Raw genomic sequence first — 13,427 nt, 5'->3', positions numbered from 1 at the left:
GAGTTTGTCTTTTCCAGGCTTGAAGCCTCTGGTCCTTTTCTCATGCTTTGCAATAGATGTGCAAGTAGGCATTTGCTTCCAGAGTTTCAGCAGCACTGACAACCTGCTCAGGCAAATTGCCATTGTCCTCAATCGTCTTCTTCAGGTATTCAGGATACTCTCCGGCAGCTCCTTAATCTGCTTCCTCTGACAGTCACTTCTCCACTTCTTTTCATTACAGGCCACAGCTTCTCTTCTCTTCTCTTCTCTTCTTTCTTCTCTTCTCTTTTCTCTTCTCTTCTTTTCTTTTTTTGAGACAGAGCTTTGCTCTCGTCACCCAGGCTGGAGTGCGATGGCACGATCTCAGCTCACTGCAACCTCTGCCTCCTAGGTTCAAGCGATTCTCCTGCCTCAGCCTCCTGAGTAGCTGAGATTACAGGTACCCGCCACCAATCCTGGCTAATTTTTGTATTTTTAGTAGAGACAAGGTTTCACCATGTTGGCCAGGCTAGTTGCAAACTCCAGACCTCAAGTGATCCACCCACCTGGCATTTCTTAAACCTACCCAACCACCCATTACTTGCAATGAATTTTATAACTTTCCATCCAGATTGAAATTTAAATTTGCATTTTTGTGATGCTCACTGGCAGATTTTACACACAGAAAGAGACCTATTCAACCTTCTCTGTTTTAGAAGCCACAAGTGCAAATCTCTTTATATTTTCCCTATTGTGGCATTTTGAGTTGTGTATGATTTTCTCAGTGATTCTTGTGTGCCCCCGATTCACTGGCCCCAACTGCTTTCTCAATTTTCTTTATTGTATGATGTGTAGGTTCATTAACACCAAAAATATGCCCTAGGAAGTGTTGCTTTCACCATTATCAAGCATTTAAAGAACTTTCATTGTGTTCGCTATTAACATAAACTTTCTTGCCCTCTTTACTCTTCTTGCATCTCTATCATCCCTCTCCTTGTTCTTTTGCTTGCATGCCATTCTCACCCCTAACTCACGCATATTTACAATGACTGCAAGTTGTATATCAATGAGAGTACACAATATTAATTTGTAATACTTAAGAACCAAATGATAAAATTCACAAGACAAATAAAAAGGCTAACCAGTTTTTGTATGACAACACGTGTGTGATCAATGGCTGCAGAGGCAACAATAACAAGCAGAAGAACAAGAGTAGAAACAAGTGTAACCCAAATGTTGGTCTTCTCACAGGAGGTAGCAAGAAACAGGATGGTGACTTGAACTTGCATATCGTTCCAAAGCTCTCAAAGGCGCGGACTTAGGGAAACTCAAATTTTGTATGATGGTGACTTGCAGTTGTGAAGCGATCGTGGAACTCAGGAGTCAAGGTCAGGCTATCACGCTGAGGTGAGAAGCACACCATCTAGGAAAAAGCAAACATAAAAATAGGAAATGAGGTCAGGAACAGAGGCAATCTAAATGAGTAGCTTATAAATTTGGAGTAATAAAAATATATGCCAGGGCCGGGCATGGTGGCTCACGCCTGTAATCCCGGCACTTTGGGTGGCTGAGGCAGGGGGATCACGAGGTCAGGAGTTTGAGACCAGCCTGGCCAATGTGGCGAAACCCCGTCTCTACTAAAAATGCAAAAAAATTAGCTGGGCATGGTGGCACATGCCTATAATCCCAGCTACTTGGGAGGCTGAGGCAGGAGAATCACTTGAACCCAGGGGGCAGAGGTTGCAGTGAGCCGAGATCACACCACTGCACTCCAGCCTGGGTGACAGAGTAAGATTCCGTCTCAAAAAAAAAAAATATATATATATATATATATACACACACACACATATATGTATGTGTGTGTGTGTGTGTGTGTGTGTGTGTGTGTATATATGCCAAATTGCCCTTGCAAAGGTTGTACCAATTTGTATGCTAAAAGCAAATGACAGTTCTTTCCTCTCATGTACTTACCAACATGACACATAATCAACATTTGTGACTTGTATCAATTAGAAGGTAAATCACAAGGTATCTAATTTTTGTTTTAATTGATTTCTTTCATCACCTTTCCTCTTTAAATACTTGTTCTTATCCTTTTTCCACGTTATATTTTTTTCTTACTGATTTATAGGTACTGTTAACATTTTAGAGAACTTATTTTTAATCCTCTCTATATTGCAAATATTTTTTCCGAGCATGTCATTTACTTTCGAATTTTATTGCTTTTGTCTTTTGCCATAAAGTTGCTTCAAGTATTTATGTAGTCAACTGTTTCTGCCTTGCTTTGAAAAGTCTTTCCCCCAATAAGATAATACAAATATGTTCACTTATTCATTTTTAATATTTTTACAGTTGTCTGGTAGTATTTCCGAACATTAAGGAAAGGATGGACTACTCAAAAAATGGTGTTGGAATAAACATCTGACTATCCATCCACAAGTGTCTGGAGTTCTCTCCCAGTAGTCTTTTTTCTCTCTAGAGCCTGAGAGTTTCTGGTAGTGCCATAACTCCTGGGTAACCAGGTTGAGTCCTCAAGCTGATCTTAGTTGATCCCGCAGTTTCTTTGGGTTAGTGTAGCTTTGAGAGGAAAATGTTTTCAAATAAATAATTACTATCTATTTTGTTGTCTTAAGTTTTGTTCGTCTACCAATCCATACTACGACTCATATCAAGTGAACAACAGTACCAAGTTCTCGGATCTCAGATCTTCTGATAACGCTTCACTAATAATTAATAAATAAATAGTCACTCATAGTTTTGGAAGAACTGAGGGAATCGGAGCATGAGTAGGCTGTTAGATGACATTCGGCCACTGCTGTTGATTCTATTGGGTGCAGTAATGGAACTGTGGTAACATAAATAAATATATGTTTTGTCGAGGGAGGAACTGAAGCAAATAGATATACAATGTTATCAGTAATTTATTTTATGGAAAAATGTTAACAATTTTTATGTTGTTGTTTTGAGATGGAGTCTCACTCTGTCGCCCAGGCTGGAGTGCAGTGGCGTGATCTTGGCTCACTGCAACTGCCTCAGCCTCCGAAGTAGCTGTGATTATAGGCGTGAGCCACCACACCTGGCTAAATAGTTACCAATTTTTAAATCCAGGTGCTTGGTGGGCATTATAATTAGCATACAATGAGCAGTGAGGACGACCAGAGGTCACTTTCATCGCCATATTGGTTTTGGTGAGTTCTGGCCGGCTTCTTTACCACATGCTGTTTTATCAGCAAGGTCTTTGTGACCTGTATCTTGTGCTGACCTCCTATCTCATCCTGTGATTAAGAATGCCTTAACCTCCTGGGAATGCAGCCCAGTAGGTCTCAGCCTTATTTTACCCAGCCCCTACTCAAGATGGAGTCACTCTGGTTCAAACGCCTCTGATGCCACCTCTTCCAGGAAGCTTTCCCTGATCCCTCCTGCTGGCTTTGAATTGATGATGGAAACTCTCAGAGCCTTCCTCCAATGCCTACTCTGATTACAGCACTTAGGATATTTCACTATAGTGCCATCTGTTTCCCTGTGTTTTAATCATTTGGGAATGCCTTGACGGTAACTGGAATAGAATAGGTCCTCATTTTATAGCATAAATGTTTATAGTACAGAAAGTAAGACCAGCATGCAATGCTCTCAAAAGGAGTAGCATTTGAATGGGACCTTGAAGAATGGGTAGAATTTTTAGGGTGTGGAGGAGAAGGCAAGCAGGTGGAAGGGACAAAGGCGGAGGCACGAAATTGCTGGGTACGCGTGGAATTAGATGAGGGATGAAGCTGAAACAAAGGACGGCTGAAGTGGGCAGTAAAAATAAAACTGTAAAAGATTTGTTGAGGCAAATCATAAAGGGCTTCAGATGCCAGATTTCTTAGATGAGGTGGAGTTGTTTAGCTGTCTTGATATTAACGAAAGGGTTTATGTTTGCAGTGAATAAAACAGCAGATATTTAGGATTAATCTGACCTATTCTTCCTTGTTACTAGGTTTTGGCATACAAAATGTATGGAAAATTTGCTTTCATGGGGGGGGTGGGGTGGAGAAAAAACCGAATTTTATTAGATGCTATGGAAATCAAATGGGATTTTAGAATTGCCACTTGCAAATAGAAGACAGAATCTAAGACTGAAATGGAAGACAGCTGTAAAACAACAGGACTGGTCTAGAAAGATGTAAAAGCTGAAGCAAATGTAGATGAAGGAGCAATTGGGGCCTATGAGGCCCTCCATGATCTGGCCCCAGACTGTTAAAATAGTTTCCTGACTAACTTTGCCATAACCAAGTCCACCCTCATAGCCACCAGCTTTTTATTCCCCAAACAGTACCTCTGCTGTGTTGTGCTTACTCAATAAGCCTTCTGAACTGACCATCGGTGACCTTGTCCTAATTCTTGCTTCCTGCATTTGTGGGCACTACAAGGCACCTTCCCCAAGAAAGGTTCTCTGGAAAGACTAGTTTACTTATTGGCTCCTGACCAAAATCACATTTGTACCTCTCCTCACACCATTCCTTCTAGTTGGAATGCTCCCTCTTTCCTTTCTATCTATGGAATCTCATCATCCAACTCAAGTCCCATTCATTCCATTATATGACCATCAGAAAGACATGAAGCCTTAGAGGCAGTAACTAGGTCCTATACTAATATGTATTTGTGTATGTATATTAGTACAAATATATATATAATATATACAAATATATATACTTATACACTAATCTATACATATACAAATATATATAATATATTTTATTATATATGATAAATATGTTATATATTTAATTATATATTTAATTAAATATATATTTATTATATAATAAATATATTATATAGTATGTATATTTATTATAGATTTATTATATATAATAAATATATTATATAGTATATATATTTATTATGTGATAAATATATATTTATATATAATAAATATATAATATAGTATATATAATAAATATATAATATAGTATATATATTATATGTGTTATATATATTACATCATTGATTAATTCAGAGGCCCAGAGAGAGGAAGCAGCAGTGCTCTTTCACAGCTTCTAAGATTACTATTGCACTTCTATTGTATAGGTACAGAATGGATGTGTTAACACTAACCCTTTTGTTACAGTCAAATCTTCTTAACATTTCATTTCCTCCTTGGTCCTGAGGTCTTCGATCTACCCTTGAATGAAGCATTATCAAAGGAGAAAGGGAGTAAGGTCAAGGAAATGGAACTAATATGTTTTGATGTGAGCACTCAGTATGTGGCAAACCCTTTACAACCTGATCATATTTTGGCCTTACAACATCCTTGTATTTGAAAAAGCAGAAGCTCAAAGATGACATGTGGCATGTCCAAAGTCACACAGCTAGCGTCCAAGCTCCAGACTCCAATATCCATGTTTTTTACACTAAACTAAGCTGTTTTCCCTTAAAATGAGTAGCTGTCATTCACATTCTGGAGCATGTGAAAATTCTGTCATGGAGCTGCGTTATGGTTTGAATGTCTGTCTCCTCCAAAACTCATGTTGAAACGTAATTGCCACTGTAACAGTATTAAGAGGTGAGATCTTTAAGAGGTGGTTAGGCTCCACCGTCATGAATAGATTAATGCCATTCATGGGAATGGCATTTCATGGGAATGGATTCCTTACAAAAGGGCAAGTTTGGCCTCTCTCTCCTTTGCCATGGGATGACACAGCAAGAAAGCCCTTGCCAATTGTCAGTCCCTCAGTCTTGGCCTTCTCATCCTCCATAACCACATGAACAAATTTCTCTAATAAATCCCCTCTCCTCTATCTATCTATCTAGCTAGCTATCCCATTGGTTCTGTCTCACTGGAGAACTCTGACTAATACAAACTAGTTTATAGCTTGTCTAAAAACTTCAGAGAAAAGATGTCTTCAAAATATTCTACTCTGAGTAAGAGACAAAGAGTGCTTCATGAAATTATTCAAGAATTCTCTTGCATAGCCAATGTTTAAGAGGCGTAAGTTACTAAATGTGCATAGAACCACTTCTTTAAAATTAAATAAGCAATATTATATGCAAATGAATCTAAGCAGCTCTAGAGCTAAACAATAAACTAAGGGGAAATTAATGCATCATGTTCAAATATTATTAACAAAAATGGAAAAAAATAATAGGTAAATAACACTAATAAAGTGAATTTTTCTGGGCCAGGCACTGTTCTAGCTGCTTTACATATATTAACTCACTTAATATTTAATACAACCCTATGTGTTAGGCATTATTATTATTATTTTATAGATGAGGAAATTGAAGCTCAGACAAGTTACATAATCTGTCTGAGGTCACACATTTATTAAGCAGGAAAGCCCAAAATGTACAGCTATGCAATCTTGCTCTAGATGACACACTCATCCATTACAATGCACTTGAAACTAATGATGTTAAGATTTTTTCTTGCAATTCTTAACTGCTCAAAATCATCCTAACACAAGAAACTTCTGGTTAAATAAAAAAGAAGGCCTCCACCTTTAGAAAAGATGTATGATAATACCTGTAGCATAACAATGAGCAAAAACCATCTTAAAATAAAACACCCAGAGTAGCTCATAGGTTCTAACACAAAATGTGAGTCTAAGTTTCTACAATATGAATTTTCTTTTTGTTCCACATATTCCTATCAAAACGGTAAGAAATAAATTAGTATCGATACAACTCTTCCATTAAATTTCTACAAATATTACCTAAACATAACGAACAGATTTCAATTCTAATCCTACTCAGAATCATACACATTCTTTCTTTGTTATTTCATTTATGATAATTAATTATACATCTTTTACATTGTTAATTTTTAAATTCCCACTGCACGTAGAAGCATATTTTACTGGAGACTTCTATGTAGAAAACTGAATTGTACATTATAAGATCACATGACCATGCATATCCCAGTTTTCATTCTTCCAAATGAGTAATATAAATTCACAAATCAACTTTCTTCATTTGAAAATTTAAGTATCATCCCTATGAGCAAAAGCCCTAACTACTTATGTTCGAAACAATTGAGGGATATGATGCTGATATTTATTATCACATTTATTTTTTGTTCTTGCTATTTTAATCTTTGATTGTTATGGAACATCTTCACTCTCTTTCTATGGTTCAATGGGTTAACAACCAAATAGACATCCATCAGTTTTTAATAATAATCTATTTTTCACATTAAAATTTCATGGAAAATCGTTCATACTTCTTACTGGATGGAAGTTTTTTAAATAGCTCTGAAAATTCACCACCAAAAACAGTCAAAAAAGATTCTATGTAGCAACAGTGCCCTCTGCTGGCTACAGCGTGGAACAGCTAAACCAGGCCTATAAGAAATCCAACAGCTAAGGGGATCTGCCGTGACCCCCGTTTGGCGATGCCGACAATGACCGTTCTGCCCACCTTTTCCCCATTCCAGGTTAAGTAGAATTTGGCTTGATACCTCCTCAAGGGAAGCAAACTCTGTTTAGCAGGCCAGGGATCACATGTGCCCTTTTCTTCCTTTTGAAGAGCTGGTCAAGCCCAAAACCTCAAAAGATTTTAAGAAAAGGCACACGGATTTGAACAATCGTTTCCTGATCTTCTCCAGATCTTTTACAGATCTTCCTCTTACCTCATTTTTCACTGGCCCGCATAAGACAAAAAGAAGCATTTATAAATAAAACCAGTCCATCCCCTACTCCGGAGCTACTTGCCCCCCTTGTCGCCTCCCTTAACGGTAATAGCAGCAAACAATTCAAGATCAGCATTAAATGGCTCTAGGGGTAAGAATTGAAAACCCCTTTTAGCCAGCACCTAACAGTGTCTAGTCACTTACTAGGAGAGGTAAATGGTGCTTCCTAAGTTATTGAGTGTGATCCTCATTAAAGGTGCTTGTATCATTGCAACTTCAGACTGAACTGCCATACCACCAAATACACATGGGAAGCTAGAGAGGAACAAGGAATCTCTAAGCATAGAGGCGTCCCTCTTCTAGAAAAACAATTCCAAAAGCCGTTCCCTGCTATTTGTAGTTACTTTAAAGATTTTATACTCAATTCAATTATTGAAGGGGTTCCTAAATACTAATTAAGGGAGTGCAGTTTCCCCTCGAACTTTGCTTCTGTGGGGATCGGGCGGTTCCAATGCAAAGCTTTGCAACTTGGGGCGGCTGCATAAGCTCTCAGCTTTGGGCTACTCCAAAATCCACGTTGACCCCAGGGCCTCGGTGAACAAAGCACTGGGCTGCGCTACTTGAGGCTCAGTCCCTGCCCCTTCCCACACAACCAGGAAGGCGTATACACAACGAAAACCGGAGGTCTACTACGTGGCACCACGGAGAGGAGGGAATCACTTCAGAGTTGATTAGCTGCGTCGGGGATTCGGGTGAGGCAAGTGAGGCTAAGTCGTTCAAGTGCAAGGTCTGAGCTTGCCCTTATTTAATATTTCTTATCTAGCTTCTTGCGGAATTTTGGCTATAACTTTGAATTTTAAAGAGACTGCATGAACAGTTTTATCTTGATTACTGAGTATCTTGGTGCCGCCTTAAATTTTGCACCCGAGGCGAGTGCCTTGCTCGTTTTGCCCTATTTACCACCGTGGTGATTGAGTGAGGGCGATTTTCCAGCTACCGAAGGGGTAAAAGATAGCCCGGAGGAGGAAGCCGGGAGCCGAGGCAGGAGCCCTCAGGATGGGAAGGAGGAGGAGGTCGCAGAGGTGGGCTCTGACTGGCTGGCTGCGAGCCAGCGAAGACGCTCCGCTCAGGGAATTTGTGGGGCCGCCAGGGAAACAAGCTTGGTTAAAGCGGAATACGGGAAGGAGTCGGCTTACCGGGTCTGGCTGCTCCGAGCCACGCAATCTCCTCTCCTTAACCGCCTCCCCTCTCTGGGGAGGACTCGTCTCGTCTTTGCAGTGTGCCTACTCCGATGCAGTGCCGTTCTGTGCCACGTTGTCACCCGGCTGCTCTCTGGAGAGACCCGCCCCTGCGGATGGCCTCTCCAGCATTCGTCGGCTCCTGACTCGCCACCCTCTGCACTGGGCGGGGTCGCCCCCTTACCCCACTCCCTAAGGAGGGGAGGGCTGAATGCTGTCACTTCTGACCTAGTTGCAGTATGCCAGGGACTCTTCCTCAGTTACACCACTCACCCCCACCCCCACCCCCACCCCCGCCCCCGCCCCACTCCGTCTCTGCAGCGGAATTAACCAACTCAAGTCCAGAGCGGTAAGAGACCCTCCAAGGGTCTGTTGGTTATTCAATAACTGTAAAAGTCGTGGATGGATTCGATCATAAGGGCGTCAAATCTTAAAACTGGAAAAAACATCCGATTTGGAGAGTATTTAACATTCAATATCTGTCGTGAAAAGTCACGAGGCAAATTAAATGTGGGTTAATATTTAATACCAGTAGTGAATCCTAACAGATACACACAAAAAGAAACCTCTCTAAAGCAGGCCCTACGAATTGCTGCCTGTGCACGCTTGACACCTCCATCAAGGGGTATAAAAAAGCTTTCAGAGGAGGACCGAGTTTCTGTTGTGAAACGGCCTGAAGGAAGCTCAGTTTCACAGAACGCCAGCCTGGGAGGATTTTATTTGCTGTTCCTACTCAATTCCTTTATAAGACCTCAAATTTCTCTGAAGCCCTTCGCAACATAAAATGGCAAGTGCTTGTCCACAGGTTACTCTGAGATTCTTACAAAGCATTTTAAATGGCTTGTTCAACTGAGACTGGCAGCTCAGAATTTGTTCTTCTAGAAAATGGATGTGAAAAACAGCTGTTAATGCCATACAGTTGTTTTAATGCGTTAAAGTGCACGGAAAACAACCAGGCCAGTGAAGATCCATATTTCTCCCAATTCCCCAAAGACATATTTTACTGGAGAAGTCTTGTCTTCAGATATTCAACTTCATTTATTAAGGCCTTAATAAATGAGGATCGGTCAGTACAAGAACAAATATCAGACTTAGCAATTTAGTTCACCCAGTTAAAATTGAGTCTCAGAGAAAGCAGTGAATCCCTTTTGTTTTTAGTTTTTTAACTGAAATTCACATTTAACTGTGTGCTTTCTTTCTGACAAACCCAAGAACAATGCACCAACTACTAGAATTTTTTTTTTTTTTTTTTTTGAGACAGAGTCTCCCTCTGTCACCCAGGCTGGAGTGCAGTGGCACAATCTCGGCTCACTGCAACCTCTGCCTCCTGGGTTCAAGCGATTCTCCTGCCTCAGCCTCCTAAGTAGCTGAGATTACAGGCACCCGCCACTATGCCTGGCTAATATTTGTATTTTTTTGTTTTAATAGAGACGGGGTTTCACCATGTTGGCCAGGCTGGTTTTGAACTCCTGACCTCAGGTGATCTGCCCGCCTTGGCCTCCCAAAATGCTGGGATTACAGGCGTGAGCCACCGCGCCTGGCCTACTACTTGAATTTTTTTGTCTATAGTCTTTAACAAACAAGACAATAACAGATGTAGGCAAAAATATCACATGGATTTTTAGTAATTTATACATGCAAAAAATATACTAACCACATTGAAATATGTGTTATGAGAGTTATAAATATATAGATTAAGGAGACTGCTAATCTGATAGCTAAGAAGTCTTTAACATTAGCCCAGGGATCTGCAAACTACTGCTTGCCAGTCAAATCACGCCTATGGTCATTTTTTGTACAATCTTTCACCTAAAAATAATGTTTACATTTTTTAGTGCTCAAAAAATATCAAAAGAAGAATATTTTGTGACAAGTGTAAGTTATGTGAATTTCAAAATTCGGTGTCCATAAATAAACGTTTATAGTAACCTATTCATGCCCACTTATTTTCATATTGTCTCAAGCTGCTTTTCTGCTAGTGGCAAAGCTGAATAGTTTCAACATAAACCATTTAACCCTCACAGCCAGAAATATTTACTGTTACAGAAGCAGTTTGTCAATCCCTGATATAGATGAAGACATTACCTATAAAGTGGTGTTACAAATAATCGTTAAGTCTGTTAGCTGTAATTGAGTGGGCTCAACATTTTCCTTCTTAGATAAATTATTTGTTTAGCTATCATTTTTCTCACAGTCAAAAGAAAAAGACCATGTTTTCATACACACGAAATGCTGGTAAACTGCAAACCGATGGGATACAGGCTGTCTCTGCTTTTCATGACTTCTAATTCACCCTTTGTCCATTGCTACGCTGCTTCACAAACCAAAATCCTGCTGTGGTTTCTAGAGTCCTAAGCCAATCAGTACTTTACCAAGTGGCTCGCCTGCCATCTAGTGGGGAAAGATAAGAGTGCTCTCTCTCTCTCTCTCTCTCTCTCTCTCTCTCTTTTCGAAAAACTGACGAGGTCGCTATAAGCTGTAGGACCTCAGACAGTGATGATTATAATAGTAATTCATTACATTTTAATGGCACTTTGAAATTTACAAACTATTTCCCAAAGTATAGTATTTTAGTTAATCCTCCCTCACCACAATTCTGTGATGTAAGCACATCTTCTTTGCCATATTTTTTCAGATGCAGAAACTGAGTGTAAACATTGGCTTACTCAAGGTCCTACAGGTGGGCTCGAACCAAACGTCATGCTCTGTTTGCTGAACCTAACACCTCTGAATTTGGGCTCTCTCATTTCTACATTTCCAGTTCTATTCTATGAATGATTTTGAGTCTCTGCCACAAGGACATTTATTTTGGGAAACTCCCTTGAGTAGTCTTTTCAAACAAACAGGACCCATCCAAAACATCCCCTCTCCAACAAATATTCTAAGGAGGCAAACAATTTTTTTAGCTAAAGGTTTAATTAATGTTTATCTAAACATGTTGTTATCTTAGACCCATTTTATGATGCACGACACATAAATTGGGAAGAAGATACTTAAGGCTTAAACCTTGGAGGGCTGTGAGACTCCTGGCAGAATGCCTGCTACTAGCTACCCTAAATCCTTTTCTGATTAAGACATACAATAATTTTTCCAATTCAGTATGAGTTCCAACTTTTGAACCTACAAAACAACGTTTGCTTAGAGCTTCGACAGTGTAAGCCACAGAGTTCTCAAGAAGAGGTCCATTTTAATTGTTCAGTGTCTCAGAAACTTCCAGCTGCTTGTGAATCTGCAAAGGGACCTCAGAGCTCACGTGCTAAAGCTCATTTGAGAGGGAAGATTTGTGGGTGTTTCCAGTACTCACTAAGATGTCTCTGTCTTGTAACAGCAGCCTTTGTGCTTAGTGATGACCAAGTACCAGATTAAATGAACCAAAGGTTAGGGCAACCCATCAGAAAGAGTCATGTTTACACTGACATTCATCTGCAGAGTCTGCAGTTTGGGACACAATGAGAATAGACCAAATCATGGACCAGCTGCTAAATGCAGCTGTACTTGAGTGTGTCCAAAACTACAAGGAGGGTAAATGCAAACAAAAGCAGGTTCCAGAGCTTTGCAGATCATTGTTCCCAGGCTGTGCCTATTTCTTGTGAACAAGCCTCCTGGGACAATATTTTAGTGTTACTTGCAGATAGTCACACTTTCATATTAAACATTTCAAGTTGTGGTGGGAGTGTGAAAACTAAGACACCTGGTACATGGGAAAGAAATAGTTTTATTGCTAGACTTTATGAACAGCCTTAAGTTTAACCACAGGTGAACCTTACTGTTTGCAAGCTCTCCTGATGTGATTTATATCATACATGGAGGAGCTCTTTGAAACTCTCTAGCTCGGACATGACATTGTATTGGTTGCCCAACTTGCCTTGGCTGCCAACATTCTGGCTAGGCCATTTTTAGCTGTTGAGGACCAGATATATATATATTATATATAGGTTGCTCACTGCAACCTCTGCCTCCCGGGTTCAAGTGATTCTCCTGCCTCAGCTTCCCAAGTAGCTGGGATTACAGGCGCATGCCACCATGCCCAGCTAATCGTTGTATTTTTAGTAGAGACAGGGTTTCTCCATGTTGGTAAGGCTAGTCTTGAACTCCTGTCCTCAGGTGATCCACCCGCCTCGGCCTCCCAAAGTGCTGGGATTACAAGCGTGAGCCACCGCGCCCGGCCTATTCAAGCTATTTCTTCTGTTTTACCACATCCCTCACTCCTTTCCCTGTTGAACTTCTGCTTAGCTTTTAAAGCTCACCTCCAATCTGATCTATTTGGTAAATCCTTATCTGAGACCCCAGCTAGAAGTAAACACACTCACCTCTGAACCTACTTTATAGCCCTATGTCTGAGTTTCTTGTAGGGCACTCGGCATTTTCTACCTGGTATTGGAATTATTCATGGGCGTGGCAGTCACATTCACTAGACTATATGCTCACTGAAGAAAACCCAGTTCAATGAGTGCTTAGACCATGACTCCTTCCTTGTTTTCCTTAAAGAGAGCAATCCCCAGGCTCCCACATCACTTTGTTCTTACCTCAGTTGTCCATAACACTTAACCTTATCCCAGGATGCTGTTACTAGTCTGAGTATCTGCCTTCCCTAGAGGATAAACTCCTTGAGATCAAATAGTGTT

General features: G+C 40.3%; 1 long non-coding RNA gene across 7 annotated transcripts in view; it reads right to left on the bottom strand.

Moving 5' to 3' along the window:
* LINC00632 (long intergenic non-protein coding RNA 632) overlaps window positions 1-13,427 on the bottom strand; it is an 81,599-nt gene that overhangs the window by 17,899 nt on the left and 50,273 nt on the right. For 2 of the 7 annotated variants that reach the window (NR_173144.1, NR_173139.1), the window contains exon 4: window positions 1,208-1,381. The exons of 1 other annotated variant lie outside the window; for it this stretch is intronic. This is a non-coding gene — a long non-coding RNA (long intergenic non-protein coding RNA 632). Of the gene's footprint in view, window positions 1-781; window positions 1,382-8,760; window positions 8,863-13,427 lie in introns of those variants that run through there. 4 more of the 7 variants (NR_173143.1, NR_190227.1, NR_173140.2 and 1 more) reach the window with 4 other exon arrangements.

This window comes from Homo sapiens, chromosome X (assembly GCF_000001405.40).
Source record: "Homo sapiens chromosome X, GRCh38.p14 Primary Assembly".
In the NCBI taxonomy this organism is placed as follows: Eukaryota; Metazoa; Chordata; class Mammalia; order Primates; family Hominidae; genus Homo; species Homo sapiens.
Note: the sequence above shows the minus strand (reverse complement) of the source record. Positions and strands in the feature narration are given on the sequence as shown.